Here is a 17700-nt window from a genome sequence, read left to right on the forward strand (position 1 = left end):
GTTTTTTAAGGATGTGATAAAATTCACAAGCAAAATCTTGAGTTGGGTGCCATTTCAAGTATAGTCTTTTCTGTTAGCTTAATGTATTCAGTGGTTACTGATGTGCGTGTTTTAAAAATTCTTTGAGCTGATTTTGATGATTTTTCTAGAAATTTGACCATTTTAGCTAAGTGTTCATATAGGTATGCTAAAATTTCCACCTTAAAATGGAAGATTCATTATTGCTTTCTCACTTGCCAGGGGCAGAGAAATTGTTCTACTTGACAAGTTAATTTTAGCTTTCCACCAACAAAACAACCTACAGAGTATTTGTACTATATGCTGCTTTAGTTTTTGTGGTCTCTCAGTGAAGTTAGTTATTTTGCAATCAAATAATTATGGGAAATTTTGCTTTTAAAAAAATCAAGTGACAATGTATTTTCATAATGACACCTTCGATTCCAGAATTCAGGAATCATAGAATTAAAAAATGCTTCGAATTTTCTTAAACTCCATGTTTCCTCACCAGTGAAATAGAAAATAACAAATAGCTATCTCATGAGGGTAGTTATATTAAAGTACATAATGACTCTACTGGTCTTCATACAACATTTGTGTGTGTTAAGTTATAGGGATAAGTTTGTATTAATATATGCCCTTTGCTTTAGAGAAAACGTACTTAGCAAACTGTGAATTTGAATAAGAGAGTTTTCCTCTATGTGTAAGTAATTATAATTGAATCTGGGGCTTGGACTATTTCTAATCATCTTAATTAATTAGCAGGATAAAGCATAAATGGACTATTTTGTCTAATTTTGGTTATCAAACAAGTAGACCTGTCAGCTTAACTAAAAATAAAATGAACAAATAATTAAGTGATTGCATGTAGCTAGTTACAGCTTTAATCAATGTAATCAGTCAAATAAGTTAAATAGTCAAAAGTATTTGTGTTTTCACACACATGTTAAATCAGTGAGAATGATTTTGTTGTCTTACTGTAATTGTAGGAAAGTAGCAAATTTGAATATATCATTCAAGCATGAATATATAGGTTGTACTGCTGTTGCAAAAATTAAAATTGACAGAAAGATAAATTTATCTACTCCAAGTCCACCAAGCCTGGCAGGCCAGTGAAGGTGATGTGAGAAGAATGGTCAGGAGATGAGGTCAAGAACCTGAACTATATATTCTGTTAAGTTTGGGACACAGTTAACCAACTTAAATCCGTTATTTTGGAAAAGGAGATTATATATGGTGTATATTCAGTATCAGCTGAACAACTTCTCTTTAGCAACATTTGCTCAGTTCTGGCCTTTATCTTTGACCTTCTTTGCAAGATATTAATAAATGCTTTTTATTCTAAGCGTAAGTGAAGTCAAGTCTAGTTAATTAAATAATATTTTCTTTCTCATAGTTTTGCATTAAGACTTCACTATTTCAAGACTTTGTCTCAACTGTCCTTGCCATTTTCTTGTCAATTTTAAAGTATTTCCTTCTCTACCAGGGAAAGTGCTTCCAATTTCTCCTCATAAGAACATTTGTCTTACTGTCTTAAAATTTCAAATCGAAGACACAGATTAAGTGGCTAGAGGTTTGTGTCCTTTTTATACTTCCTTGCATTATTCTCCTCAATAAAGTTAAACTGTGTCACACAGCAATAAATGTACATTTTTACTGATGGAGTTTCCAGACTTTTTGTGATTAGGAGATTTTCTGTCTTTTACCTAACTCTTCATCCCTGGAGAAGAAGATGTGTGATACATAGTGAGAATAAATAATATACTGGAGAGAGGAGGGGAGGAGTGATTAAGAAAGTCATATTTGCATTGCTTTATAGAGCAAGGAGCAGACCTTTCAGCCCAACAATTCCACATCCTTGAGAGATGCTTCTACCAGAGGGGGGCACAAATATCAGATATATTGTGATCACTTTCATGGCATTTGAGTTTGATTTGTATTTGTATTATAATTTCTGAACATCACTATCACATATTTTATTTTTAAATAAATGAGTGGAGTTGTCTAAATGACTTAATTGTAACTTTTGATTTGTAGGTAGAAATTGCGTTAAGAAATAACAGAAAGAACATGAATTTATAGTCAGAAAACCCAGGTTAGAATTTGAGCTGTGCTATATTTTAGCTGTATTAATTTGATGAAGGCACTCACAATTTCTGAATTTTAGTAGACACATCAACATGAATGATAATATTAATCTCATCAGGCTGTTGTGAAGATAAAATAAAATGTTTTTGTAAAGCACTAGTAAGCTGTCTGACACCTAAAAGAACTTTAATGTCTATTAATTCCTCTTTTGCTCAATAGCTATATTAACAGTGCTGAGAGCAGGGAGACTCCTGTTATGTCCCCAGCTCCATTTCTCAGAAAATATCTGACCTTGGTAGTTCCCATAAATGTTCTGAGTCTCAATTTTCTAAACTGTAGAATGAGAAGAAGTATCTGTTCAAATAAAAGGTCCGTCTTAGAGAAATTTTGTGACTATTAAATGAGAAAATAATATGCAATAAACTTTGAAAATTATAGAGTGCTAAAGATATATAAGCCATTTCCTTTAAAAGAAAATATTAGTTCAGGCACTAATGTTGTATACACTGTATTTTATCTCAAAATCAGAATAAATAGACATTCAGGAAAAAAAAGTTCTTAATATTTTAACACATATTTCCTTGTCATGTTTCACCACATGTATCCTTGGTCATTTTTCTAAGTCCCTGTGCAAATAGGACTCCAAAAAATAATTTTTTTCTGAGTATTAACATTTGTTCTTTTACAAATATAATTGTGGGTCACTGAAAGGCCCTTAGCTTCCTATGAAACAACTAAGAGTAGCTTGAATCTTCTCCTAGAAGCCATATATACATAAGGGTATGGAGAATATTGGGAGTTTTATTTTGAATGAAGATAAATGGAAAATTTTAGGTTGAAAGAAAAATGAGATTACTTATTAAGATCAAATAAAATTAATATTGTTAGAAGTTGTTTTTTGAAAGCTAATACTTATCTAAAAGAAAGGTCCCTTGACAGAGTAAATTTGCTTGAGCTGCAGATTTTCTTTTTCTTTTATTTTTGGATAATTTCATCAGATTTGGAAAAGAATTAAGAATTGTCTCTGTTATTGTCATTTAGACTTTTTCTGAACAATAGAACTAATTTACCAACACGGAAGAAACATGCCAAATCACTGACCATAGCCCTTGAAAGGAAGGGTTTGGTTTTTAAAAAAATTAAATTAGATCTATAAGTTTGAGAAATTTCAGCATGTTTTTTATAATTCTTTATTATTGTGAAATTGGAAAAACTCATGACATTGCTTTATGTAACCAAGTGTTGCTTGGCTGCATACATAAGCTTTGTGCTGATAAGTGGGGCATCTGTTATAATGCTTAGAAATACTTGGAGTTAGTGTCTGGGCTCTAGGATGGGGCCGCTTGACTCACTGTGATCTGAATTGGAACACACTGCTTTATTCCACAGCCATCTAGACAGAAAGTGAGGACAACAATTTACCAGTTAAAGCAACAAAGCAATTGAGGTAGACAGAAAGTAATTAGTTTTTAATGATCTTTTGGAAGTCACATGAATAGATTGATTTCTGTTTTGATCTTGTTTGAATTAATAGCTGCTTTTGAGTCTTCAATCCCACTTGAGTATGCATTGTTTCTCCATTTCACGGTCTGGTGCTCCTGAAGTTTAGGTTTTGCTTGGCCAATTGTTCCGTTTTGTAAAGCTCAGACCAGTGTTTTTGTGTTCCTTAGCTTTAAACATTGTTGTGGTGTTTTCCTTTTATTTCTATAGCTGTTTCCTCTTGGGAATTTGATGGGGCTATTATCACTTCCACAGGGCTAACATCCAAATTGGAGGTTCTTATTTGGAAGCTAAAATTGGAAAAAATTGGCGTGAATTCATTTCTCACTAAAACCGTAACCCAGGCTCCGTGTTCCTTGGGAAGAGCATTTTCTGCTCTTGTCCTGGTTGCTGCCCAGACTTTTTCTTCTCTCCTTTTTGGATTATGTGAGTTACTTAGAACCAGCTAATGAGGGTGCAGGAAGCAGTTTGTATGGCCGGTGCCACTGTTATGACTAAAAAGCTTTTCCCCAAAATAAATAGTAGTTTGCCTCTCCCCAAAGCTTTGCAGACAATGAATCACAATATCCCTCACTTTTGCCCAAACATTGTCCCTTTTTTTCTTATCAGACAGATGTCTACATCCCTTCACTCTGCTTCCCTGTTGCCCATTTGATTCTCAGACACTCTTCCTTGTCAGGAAGGTACTAAAGGCTTAATATCTTTTTAATTCTCTCTTGTTTATTTGTTTTTGATGAATCAAGCTATGCATGTATGTTTTTATAAAATTATTTTTTGAGAAGATGTGGAAGATGAAAAAAGCCAAATTCCTACAGAGAGATTTTCAAGATTTTTAAACAGACCTCCTGATTTTTCTATACAATTAAGTTCTTTAATATATGACTTTTTAATACTGTTGTGCTTTAAAATAATTTTTCACTTAAAATGATCACCTTTCCATGCCAATAAATATAGATCTCCATCCTACTTTTTAAAGACTGCCAGTGAAAGTTTTATATCTCTATGGTCCTAGACATTAGGGTAACTATAGGAAGAAAATAGGTGTGATTTGAAAATAGAGAAGATCAAAGAAATATCATTTACTAAGTCTTTCTAGAAAGCAGAAATGAGAAGAAATGGTTTGATAAGGTCAAAAGAAATTGCAACCTGGTGTGAATCAACAGATTTTAGAACACTAACCAAACACTACACTTACATTAAGTGTGAATGAGCATTTTGGAACTTTAATAGATTGGTGCTGGGATGCTGAATCTCTTCACCATCCCTCACTCCCTAGGACAGAGGAGGGAAGTAGAAAAAGAAAGAGAGCACAGAGAAATGGTAGAAAATAAGATGCAGGAGCCAAATTGGAAAAGAACGACAGAGAACGCTGGACTAGCAGGTTGGGAGTAGTCTTAAGAGAGAGAAAAGGAGAGGGGGCTATGGGATATTTACAGCCAACTTTCCATTTAGCGCCAGGCACCCAGTGGAGAAAAGACAATTTATCCTTGTCATAGCCCTGGCTGCACTGCTGCTCCTCCTGCCAGGCATTTTGTTCCCAGAAGGCACTCCCCAGTAATGTAAGGAGAAGGTGGGAGAGGGGGAGAGAAGGTCAGTAACGACTTCCATGGTCAGCACCCTAGTCGTTTTCAGCAGCCGTTTCAGGGTTCTTCAACAGCCTTGTCACTTTATCTACTGTGTCTGTTTACTTCTCTCTGGATTTCCATTTTATGTTTTGTATAATTGGGTATCTCTAGCTCTCTATTTCTCCCATTCAGCTGAGCTAAAATTAAATTTTAAATTTTTGTTTAAGCTCCTTTTTTATGTTTTATATTATCATTTTGCCCTCAACCTTTTACTTTCTACAGGTTAAAAATCTGATATTTTAAAAATAAATCTCCAGGTGGACCAAAGGTTCATATTAATCCATCATCTTTGTGCTTTTAGTATTTCATTGGCAAATATCCCACAGGATTATTTTATCTCAAACATTTTATTTCATGAAGAGATATGAATTTGGTCCTTTTGCAGAATCCTGGGAGAACTTAACCTTCAGGAAAAAGACAAAATGATTGCCTTCTTCCAAGCCAGTGACTCAGTTTGAATATACATGATGGGAAGTGTGCATCTGCCAGTGACCTTTGGGATAATTTGGACTTTTGGCCTTTTTCCAAAATAAGGAAGCAGTAGAACAGTTGCGTCTTGTTTTATGAATTCAGTCTCATTCATAATCCAGTATTTGGAAATTTCCCACCTTTTCCAGCAGAAGTTGCCTAGCTCTAATATGGACACTGAGTATCCTCATCATGAGACATGTTTTGTGTGACACTCTGGCCTATTTGCTCCAGAGGAAAAAGTAGCAGCAGGATTAGGCGATGGATTCAAATTCCAACTCTCTTCCTCTATCGAACTGATATTCTAACTGTAGTTTGGTTCCTTGATATGTTTAATGAGGTTTTAATAGCATCTACCTCATAGGATTGTTGTGATGACTAAATGAAATTTTTTTTTTTTTTTTGAGACAGAGTTTCACTCTTCTTGCCCAGGTTGCAGTGCAATAGCGTGATCTCGGCTCACTGCAACCTCCACCTCCCAGGTTCAAGCAATTGTCCTGCCTCAGCTCCCGAGTAGCTGGGATTACAGGTGTCTGCCACAGTGCCCCGCTAATTTCTTGTATTTTTAGTAGAGGCGGGGTTTCACCATGCTGGCCAGGCTGGTCTTGAACTCTTAACCTCAGGTGATCCACCTGCCTCAGCCTCCCAAAGTGTTGGGATTACAGGCATGAGCCACTGCGCCCAGCCTAAATGACATTTTATTTGTGCTTAAGTTCTCCATAAGTAGTAACTACTGATATTACTAAATTATTTATATTGTTTCTACTAAAAGTGATTATTAGACATAATGTCAAGATGCTCATATTCTGCTTAGGGGTTAAAATACTTAGGCATTAATTACCTAGAGGATACTGAAGTGCTAAACTCTATGGTGATGGTCATATTTTCAATTGTAGGCTCTCAGGTTAAGGAAAGATTTAAGCAGTTCAGCAAGTGGGGATAAGATGACCTTCCTGAAGAGGTGAGGATTGAATTGGGCCTGGAAGAGTAGGTAGAATTTAAAAGACACAAAAGGGAATTTAAGGTTCAAAAGAGGAGGTCAGGGGAGAAAAAGTATGAGTAAGCATATAACAAAAGACTATAGAGTTTTAGAGCTATTTTTGTGGATTTTTTCGTTCTCTTTCCCCCCTTTTATTGGTATCCTTTTATGGAATCTCATTTCATTTTTTAGCTGTTACCTGTGCCAAAATAATAAACATGCTCATGATGTCATGTCACTTTAAATCTCTAAGAATCTTGGTTTACTATTCAGCTGTTGCTTTGAAAGTGCACAATTCTGGAATTAATTCTGGGGAGCTGTGTTTGCAGAAGTGCTTATATTTAGGAGAATTGAGAGTTTATATTCCTAGAGACAACATCAAATTGCTAAGGAAAAGCTGCATTCCACGAACCAGGAAACACAATCTAGTGTTCATGATGGCTGTTCGTCCATGTATTAAGGAATTTGTACTGAGTGGTCAACTGCAGTAAGTGCTACTGGAATGCTTCGTCCCTGCGGTACCTTACCTCATGTCCTCACTCTCCCTCATAGTCACAGACTGTGAAGGAAGCTGTGGAGGTGGGGATTTAAAAAGAAGAGGAAATCACTGGAGAGCCAGAGGGCTGTTTAAAATTCTACAAGTGAAGCAGGTTAAAAACATAACCCAGCATTTCTCTCTTTGCAACTAGATGCAAGATTAGGAAGGCATTTAAAAAAAAAAGTGGGAGTTGAACAATGAGAACACATGGACACAGGGAGGGAAACATCACACACTGGGGCCTGTCGTGGGGGTAGGGGGCTAGGGAAGGGATAGCATCAGGAGAAATACCTAATGTAGATGACGGGTTGACGGGTGCAGCAAACCACCATGGCACATGTATACTTATGTAACAAACCTGCATGTTCTGCACATGTACCCCAGAACTTAAAGTATAATAATTAAAAAAAAATTCCTGAGATTGTATGATGCTCTATATAAAATTTAGAAAGAGGTTAAATTAAATAATATTTAGCTATTTGTTCATTTAAATCTTTCTACCACTCCTGGTATTGCCCTGTTTACCTCTCAGTTAGTCTGGTCCATGGCTGGAGCCTGGCTAGCCAGGCCACAGGTCTCTGACCAGAAGACCGTCTTACCTGGCAAAGGACACATGGCTTCCTTCAAGGCCGAGCATATCAACCCAATGCAGAAATGACAGTGAATATCACAAATGCATTTTAGGCTTTAAAAGTTTAATTAAATGTAGGGGCAGTTTATGTGATTTATTTAATTACATGCGTTCTTTCTCAAAGCACCTTATTTTCCATGAAAGCCCCTATAATGAAGGTTCCCCTGGTCACTGTATCTGGGCATCACTTAGAAGGATTTTAAGCAAGGCAATACAGTGCAGCATGTTTGAAATTAAACAGATGTGGGTTGAAGTTCTGTCTCCACCACATATTAGCTGAATGATCTGGGGTAAGTTATTTAACCTCTCTAAGCTTATTTTCCCCCCTTTAAAGTAAAACTAATAATAGTATTACTGCAAAGTTTTTATTACTAATAAGACTAATAATAGTATTATTCCAAAGTTTTTTAAGAAGTAAAAACTAAAAGAGAGTCATTTAGTCGAGTGATTAATATAACCACTAGATTAGATTGATAATAGTGAATATTTTTTAAAAATGTAGTGGTTATCAATATCTTAACATTATTAATGTATGACATAGTAAATGTAACAATTAACATTAAAACAGTCAATGTTAGCTATTATTATAATTGTCATAAGACTTGATTCAGTTAACTTTTGTAAGAATGTTTCCTCACCTGCAACATGAGGATAATATTAATATTACCTACAGACAGATGCTATAAACTACATCCAGGTGTGCTGTGAGAATTAAATGAGCTGCTGGGTGTGGCTGTGATTTACAAACCATAGTGTAATTATTGTGTCAAAGTTGAAAGCAAGTAGATAGTATCTGGTAGGACTTTTGACCTCAATGTAATGACCAGAATCTGCAAGACAGCATTTTGGTGAGTGCTAATCTTTTGATTTAGGGCCAGTGTTTCTGGAAAGCCAGAAGGATGGTTTGTAATGAAGCAGAATGTTTTGCCCAGAACGGCTGGCTAAGCAGTTGCAAATTCTGTTTTCTTTGCCTGTTAAAGCCATTTTAGCTTAAGTGTTGTTGTAGCTACTATGGAGTCCTAGCTAGTGTCTTACTGTACAGAATTATTCATCATTTTCTAAGAGAATCATTTTGATAAGGAACATTCTCTTTATTTTGTATCTCTATTGGGGTCATCTTATGGGGCATCCACCTTGGGATACACAATTTGTGAGACATTTTCAGTGATATTATTTAATATTGTCCTTACAATCACCCTCTGAAGTATGCATTATCATCTATATTTACAGACAAGAAAAGTGAAACTCAGTAACTTGCCTAACATTAAATGAGAGAGCTGAGATTAACCCTCTTACCAAACTCAAGTTAGGTATATGCTCTTACCACTGCATTGGTTCACTGGTTTTCATATTACTTTAGTGTAAGCACAGAAAAAGGGAAGGCAATAGGAGTTCTCAACCCAGAGCAGTGCTACCCCACTAAGGAGTGTTTGAAGAGGGTATTGATTGCCTAACTGAGTTAAGGGGCTGCTGGATTTGTTGGGCAGGGATCAGCAGTGCCAAATATTCTGCAGTGCTCAGGACTATACAACTGAAGAATTTTCCCACCTGAGCAGCCAGCAGTGATTCATGAATGTCTCTCTTGACCTTTTCTGAAAAGATAAAAGTGGACTGTGTCTGTATTAGTATGACTATATTTTGTAGTTTTCACTTGGATGCTTTTTGTGATATAGGAAAACCCAACCCTTACTTCCCAAGTGATATGACTTGAATTCTTTTTCCCTCTAAAACTTGTGTTGAAATTTAATCCCTAATGTTGCGGTATTGAGAGGTGAGGCCTTTAAGAAGTGAGTGGGTCAGAGCTCTCATAAATAGATTAGTCCATTCATGGATTAATGGACTAATGGACTAATAGATTAATGAATTATCATGGGTGAAGAACTGGTGGCTTTATAGGAAGAGGAAGAGAGACCTGAGCTAGCACATCAGTACACTTAGCCCCCTCACTATGTGATACCCTGTGCAGCTTTGGGATCCTTTAGAGAGTCCTCACTAGCAAGAAAGATTTTACCAGATGTGTCTCCTCAACCTTGGATGGTCCAGCCTCCAGAACTAGAAGAAACAAATGTCAGTTTCTTGGAATTACCCAGTTTCAGGGATTCTGTTATAAACAATAGAAAATGAACCAAGACACAAAGCAAGATGAAATTGTTTCATCTTTAGGTGTTTGTATAAACCTTATCACAGTACCTCAATCGCTGTATCCATAAGCATGAGCACCATTTTATTCATTACTGGCTTTGTGGTGCCTAGCATTGAGTCTAGCTAGTAGCAGGTGCTCAAGTAATACTTGTGAATACGAGGGCATAGTGGTTTCTCTATCATCTATGAAGCTCAGGAGACAGGCCTGAAGGCATGGATTGTCTGTGCTTACTGCTCTTCCTCCCTGCCCTCCAAATAAACAGAACCAGTTATCCAACTTGGTTTAAAAACATTAGTGTTTCAGCGGCCATTAAAAATACATTGCATATTGCTCTTCCTGAATTCTTGCTCCTTTTCTGACTAACATGTGATCTGATAGCTTAGGGTCTCATTTGGTCACCAGCACCCTTCTAGGAAGGAATGTTCTATTCCTTGAATCTGGCTGAGTGATGGTTGCCTTACAAAGATTATTTTTCACGTCAGCTTCCTTAAGTTGTAGATCCATTTTTTTTCCCCTTGTGTACTTTGAGTGATAGAGCTATTACTAGAGCTGGGGTGTGTTTTCTAAATGGTTGGCTAGAGCAAAAGCATCATATTACATTTCTTAAGAAAGGACTTTAATTTATTAGAATTATTAGTTCTCATTTTCTACCTGTTAACCTTTGAAATATTATTTACTTTTCCTTCTGGCATTTGCATATACCTTGGGGTTATTTTTCTCTTTTTATATCGATCAAATATACTTTCATATATTGTAAATGTATGTAAAGCACTTCAGGTTGGCACTAGTCCTTTTCAATTACTAGTTAAAACGCTATGATGCCCTTTGAGAAAGAACTATATAAATTTCATATTTTAATTTATGAGCTCTCAGTTATGTTACTTGCTTAAGTTCCCTTAGCAATTAAGTAGAGGAATTAAAATAAGAACTAAACATGCCTGATTCCTAGTTATTTGGCTTCAATATTTTTTAAGAGTTTCCCTTCCTCTTCCCTCCATTTGTGATTTCTTCCTTCCTCTCTTTCTCCCAAGGAACTCCATTACTGACTTTCTTCTACATCTTACATAAAATTGTTAATTTCCTTACTATACTTATAACCTTACACTTAGAGCTCAGGGTAGACCCAAGGAACGATTGTTAACTTAGGTCAGACCTGAGCACCGTGGGACCTGCCCAACCTCTCTCTCACCTTGCCAAATGCCTCCCACTTTCATAGTATCCCCATCACCAATTTCTTGACAAAAGTAGACTATCCCCACTGTCTCCCACCCTTTTATTCACCCCTTCTCTTTCCCTCCTTCCCTCCCTCCCTTCCATCCTTCCTTCCCTTTCCTTCCTTCCTTCCCTTCCTTTCACCCTTTTCCTTCCTTCCTTCCTCTCTGTCTTTTCTTTCTTTCTTTCTTTCTTTCTTTCTTTCTTTCTTTCTTTCTTTCTTTCTTTCTTTCCTTCTTTCTCCTTCCTTCCTTGTCTTTTTCTTTCTTTTCTCTTTCTTTCTTTCTTTCTTTCTTTCTTTCTTTCTTTCTTTTCTTTCTTTCTTTTCTTTCTTTCCTCTCTCTCTCCCCTCCCTCCCTCCCTTCCTCCCTTCCTTCCTTCCTTTTTCTCTCTTTCTCTGTTTCTCTCTCTCTCTTTTCTTTCTTTTTTTTCTGTTACAGGCAGCATGTATTCTGATGTTGTTTTATTTAGTTCTCTCTCCTTTTTTGGGGATTGGGTAAGTATGGTAGTGGGTATGTGTCCTCACACAGAAAAGTTTAAACTGCAATTTGAATGAAATTTTGTAACTTCCTGAAATGCAGATTAGGTTGTGGCATGCTAGTTCACTTTGGATTCATGTGATGTCACCAAATGGCTAAAAAAAAAAAAAAAAATCAAACATGATCAGCACAGTTATTACTTTTTAAAGCCTTTTGAGAAAAACATGTGTGTTGAAGAACAGGATAGTGGACACAAAAATAACTTCAGTCTCTAAGTGGGTAGAGAATTGTTTTAACTTGATAATGTGTTTGAAAAGAAGATAAGACAGTGGTTTGGGAAGTCACTGCCCTCTGCCCTGTGTGGAATCCAAGGATTATTAGCATTACAAGAAGAAATTGCAGATGATCATTACTAAATGAAGAGATTACTGGGAGACACATGCCTCAGGTCAAAGAAGACAATGGGGATTAAGAGATTACAACTAATACAGAGATGATATTAACTGTTTTCCCAAGGTTGAATACAAAGGAAATAAGAACAACTATTTCTCAGGCTGGAGTAGGGAGTGGTGCTGGAGCTGAGGTTGCTTTTAAATATTCTTTCTAAATTTGGCCCCAAATTCTTTAGGTTAGTTGTATTACTCAGGAAGAAAGATTGAAGCCATGTTGATTTGGATACTGTGTCAAAACTCAGTCTTGATTCACTGTGCTTGCTGTCCTTCCTCAGTCACTGCTGTTGCAATTCAAGTCCTGAAGACAGGGTAGGAATCCAACCTGAGGCAGTTATGGGAGAGACTGTAAATTCCCACACTGGTTTTCAGAGACCCGGAGTCTAAACCCATTTTTGACCAGAAGAATGTGATGGAATTTCTTACACGCTCAGATACTTCATCTGCAAAATTGAGGGAATAATGCTAGATTATTTTCACAATTCCAGATAATTGCTAAACATGTAGGTACCTCTCAAAGATCCACAGCATTAGAAGCACTGAAAATCTATGCGGTTGTTCAATAATATTATATCTTGGAAATATCATTCCAGGATGAAAGTTCATGAATGTTTTCCCTTCAAGAAGGCTATAACATTTATGACATAATTTATACAGACATTATTTATACAGTTTTGGAATAATTTATTTCATTTTAAAAGGGCTAATAACTTTTTATTTAAGGATAATAAAATGAATTTACATACAAAACACTTAAACATTTCCCTAAAGTGTGTTTTGGTCTAAACAATGGTGAAAACCATTAGGCAAAATTTGACATTGAAGTAAACTGAAAACAAGTTGTCTGACTTAGTTTTAACCTGAGACATTTAATTTAGTTTCAAGATTTTTATAAAAATAAAGCCAAGTTTCAATGTGTACGTTCACTTGACATAAGACTATCACATATTGTAAAGTAAATTATAGTGTAAAATATGAGTATATGACTAAGAAGATACTGTCACTTTAAGCCATTCTTTAAAAAATTCTGCCAAACAGAAATTTAGAGGTTGCGCTTTCCTTATTTAGCTGGGTTAATCTCTTAGTTGCCAAGGGCAGATTGATTTGTTTATAAACTTGTTAAACCAAATCTGCACATAACCACATCACAGATAATAAAGTAGGAAAAGACCACTCAGATTGTCATTCTGTATCCACTCACCACATCAGTCTTGTTAATGTCTAATTTAACTGTTTAAGCAATGTATGCTGCATTGCATGTTTTGCACATTGTATTTTTAAGTGATGTGTTGATGATTGTTAACCATGTGTGTGGGTGTGCCTGAAAAGATCCAATGTGCAGCCAGAATTCCTTTTTCATTGACATACCCAGGCTGGGCTACTGTCAGTGAGTCATTCTCACTGCATTGACACTGAGGCCCCCATGTGCGGTCTTACGTGTTTGAGACCAGATGCCAGGCATATTTATTCCACGTTGGTACCACTAGCATAGGGAAGACTGTATGCCACTCATTGGTTACTGGCAGTTAAAACTTTTTTCTTGACATCTGCCACTTTTTAAAAGCCCCCTAATTTTGTAATAAATAAGTTCTTTCCACTACCACTTAGCAAATAAGCTTTCAGTCTTTATAGTGTATTGCTACCTAATACATGGAATTATAAACCTTGTGAGATTTAAATTTTCTTTGAACGTGACATTTAGTTTTCTTAGCAATTTTTATGATGGTGTTGTCCTGTTAGTGTTAGGTATCAGTAATAAAGATATGTGTGTGTGTGTATGTGTGTGTGTGTGTGTGTGTGTGTCTGTAGCAGAAGTTTAAAGAAGATGAAGTGACTTTCTGACGGGTGATAGCATGAACCCTTGTATGGAAAAGTTTTACTGTAGCACGTAGAAATTTACACATCACAACTTAAGAAGAGAGAAATGTGGTTTTCTTTTCTAGAATCTAACTTATACTCTTGAGGTTCTGTTATGCTTAGAGGAGATAATGTCATTTCTTCTAGCCCAGTAGCAATTTGATCCAGTTGATTTTTCTTAGCCAAAATTGAATATTTTAGTTATTGTTCATTTCAAAGCCCGGCCACTTCTCAGTAAAGGGCATCTGGAAGAATTTCTTTCCATTTTCCTCAGTGGCATCTGGGAACACTGGGAAAAGTCATTTCCAATCAGGCAGTGAGGCAGGGACATGACTTTGATTTTTTTGTTGTCCTCCTGGTTCCTGCAGGTCTTGGCCCAGTGGTGCCTGGGCTTGCCTGGTCCAAGCATGGACTGATCTTTTGAGCATCCTACTAATTTCTATAACTGATGCTCGTGCACCCTTGATTTTGAGATTCCTGATCAATGTTGATGGACTGTTTTAGACCTAGGTTCTGAGCACCTTTGCATCACCCATGACAGTCCATGGGGCCTTCCATTTTCCATACCTCACTGGTGTGTGTGAACCTTGTGGGGTTGGTCTCTAAACTCATTGTATTAGGCTGTTTGAGTTGTTATAAAGAAATACCTGAGACTAGGTAATTTAAAAAGAAAAGATATTTAATTGGCTTACTATTCTGCAGCCTATACAAGCATGGCTCCAGCATCTTCTTATGGGGCCCGAGGAATCTTACAATCATAGGAGAAGTTGAAGGGGGAGCAGGCATTTTATATGGCAAGAGCGGGAGTAAGACTGGCAGGGAGGTGCCACACACTTTCAAAGAACTCGATCTCGTGAGAACTCACTCACTATCACAAGGACAGCACCAAGCCATTCATGAAGGATCAGCCCCCATGGCCAAAACACTTTCCACCAGGCCCCACCTCCAACATTCAGTATTACATTTTAACATGAGATCTGGAGGGGACAAACATCCAAACTATATCATTCTGCCTCTGGCCCCTCAAATCTCATATCCTTCTTACACTGCAAAATAAAATCATCCCCTGCCAATAGTCCCCGCAAATCTTAACTCATTACAGCATCAAGTCCAAAGTCCTAAGTCTCATCTGAGACTCATCTTCCACCTATGAGCCTGTAAAATCAAAACAAGTTATTTGCTCCCAAGATACAATGGTAATACAGTCATGGAGTACACATTCTTATCTCAAAAGGGACAAACTGGCCAAAAGAAAGGGACAGTAGGCTCCATGCAAGCCTGAAACCCAGCAGGCAAGTTATTAAATCTCTTTTTCTTTTTGAGACGGAGTCTCGCTCTGTCACCCAGGCTGGAGTGCAGTGGCGCAGTCTCAGCTCACTGCAAGCTCTGCCTCCCAGGTTCACGCCATTCTCCTGCCTCAGCCTTCCAAGTAGCTGGGACTACACGTGCCCGCCACCATGCCCGGGTAATTTTTTTTTTTAATATTTTTAGTAGAGATGGGGTTTCAACGTGTTAGCCAGGATGGTCTCAATCTCCTTACCTCATGATCCGCCGGCCTCAGCCTCCCAAAGTGCTGGGATTACAGGTGTGAGCCACCGTGCCCAGCCTTTTGGAAGTTATTAAATCTTAAAGCTCCAAAATAATCCCCTTTGATTCCATGTCCCTCATCTAGGTCACACTGGTGCAAGGGTGGGCTCCCAAGTCCTTGGGCAGCTCTGCCCTTGTGGCTTTGTAGGGTGTAGTTTCTGTTGCTGCTCTCACAGGTTGGAGTTGAGTGTGTGTGGATTTTGCACACTGAGGTTGCAAGCTGCTGGTGACTCTACTATTCTCCGGTCTGAGGGGGTGGAGGACCCCCTCCCACAGCTCCACTAGGCAGTGTCATTGTGGGGACTCTGTGTGGGGGCTCCACCCCACATTTCCCCTGGCACTGCCCTCGTAGAGTTTCTCTGTGGGGGCAACACCCATATAGCAGGCTTCTGCCTCAGCTCCCAGGCTTTCCTATCCATCCTCTGGAATATAGGTGGGAGCTGTCAAGCCTCCTTCACTCCTGCAGTCTGTGCACCTGCAGGCTTATCACAAGAACAGACTAACATTCGTCAGTACTAGTTTTATGTATTAGTACATTCTTGTGTTGCTATAAAGAAATACCAGAGACTGGGTCATTTATAAAGAAAAGAAGTTTAAATGGCTCATGATTCTGCAGGCTGTACAAGCATGGCTCCAGCATCTGCTTCTGGTGAGGGCCGTCATGGTGGAAGGTGAAGGGGAAGCAAGCATCTCACATGACCATAGTGGGAGCAAGAGAGAGAGGGAGGAGGTGCCACAAACTTTTAAACAACCGAATCTAGCAAGAATTTGCTTACTATCACGAGGCTAGCACCAAGCCATTCATGAGAGATCTGCCCCCAGGATCCAATCTCCTCCCAACAGGCCCCATCTCCAACATTGGAGATTAAATTTTAACATGAGATTTGGATGGACAAACATCCAAACTATATCACTCATACACAGGCATCTTCCTCAGCGGTGGAATCTGCCTCTTCAGCTGGGTCCACTCCTGCTGCCATTGTGAGGTTGTACCATTCCAAATGCAGAGTTTCTCTGAAAGGTTTTTGATAGGGCCAGTCTCTGCCCAGGAAAGCAGAGGATCAACAATGGTCCCTCAGATGCCCCCAAACCTACATCACTGCTTCTCCTGTCCATAGACTGCTCTCTGTCCCTGAGGTTTGACCTCTGGGTAGGGAGGCAGGAAGTGGGCTGCCCACCTCTGATACCTCGTCCACACTTCCTCTTCTTCTTTCTGCCAGCATAGAAATGGCTTTTCATTTCAGTTCTTATCTTCTAGAATTGACAATAGATTATTGTCTTTCTTTTCTACTCTGGGAAGCATGTAATTATTGATCTGAGTCCTTCAAGTTTGGCTTTTATATACAAATACTTAGCTTTGGAGAATTTCAATAGAACCCTTTTCCTCCTCAAGAAAGCCTGGCTCCTGCTAAACCAAAAGCCTTTGCATTCAGGGAATAGCCTTGCTATGGATGTAAAATTTCATATTATAAAGCTGTAAACTGATTGATGACTGCTGCTCTTGGCTGTGTGTTGCTCTTTTCCTGAGTCAATGAACCCCGCTGGATTAAGAGGGTGCAGGGAAGATAAGGAGAACTATAGGAAAGTTACAATTTGAAGTTTACCTGTGATGAAATGACATTGGCTTAATATCACAAAAAGATTAATCATCCAGTACATCAGCATCATCTGTAAGCCACCAATTGACTGTTGGGATTTTTTAGATGGGTCTGATGAAAAGGAATTAAATTTACATTTGGATTTCTATTAATGACTGTATAGTTTGTTCAAAAGAGAGTTACTCTAGTTTTCTTTACCTTGCTGTTATTCAGCTATTTTTTCTCTCTTTTATAATTTAGTCTTTACATTTTTAAATTGTAAAATAAAATGCAGATACAGAATGCTCTCCCATGAATTTGTGTACATGTTAATGAATTGCTTAGTAAATTTTAAGGCAAAAGCCTTTGTAACCAACACTAGATCAAATAGAACTTTGTCAGCCACTCATAAGCCCCTCTATATCCTCTATTCCAATCATAATCCCCTCCCTTCTGCCATATGTAATAATTATGCTATATAACAGAATAATAGTAATAAGCTTATTACTATTATTTTTGATAATCACTTCCTTGTATGTGTGTGTATGTTTAGTTTGAACATTTATATAA

At 37.7% G+C, this 17700-nt stretch overlaps 1 protein-coding gene across 24 annotated transcripts in view; it reads left to right on the top strand.

The window, feature by feature from the left end:
- TRMT11 (tRNA methyltransferase 11) overlaps positions 1-17700 on the top strand; it is a 285804-nt gene that overhangs the window by 153913 nt on the left and 114191 nt on the right. The window lies entirely within an intron of this gene.

The sequence above is a fragment of the Homo sapiens genome, chromosome 6 (genome assembly GCF_000001405.40).
Source record: "Homo sapiens chromosome 6, GRCh38.p14 Primary Assembly".
NCBI classification, from domain to species: Eukaryota; Metazoa; Chordata; class Mammalia; order Primates; family Hominidae; genus Homo; species Homo sapiens.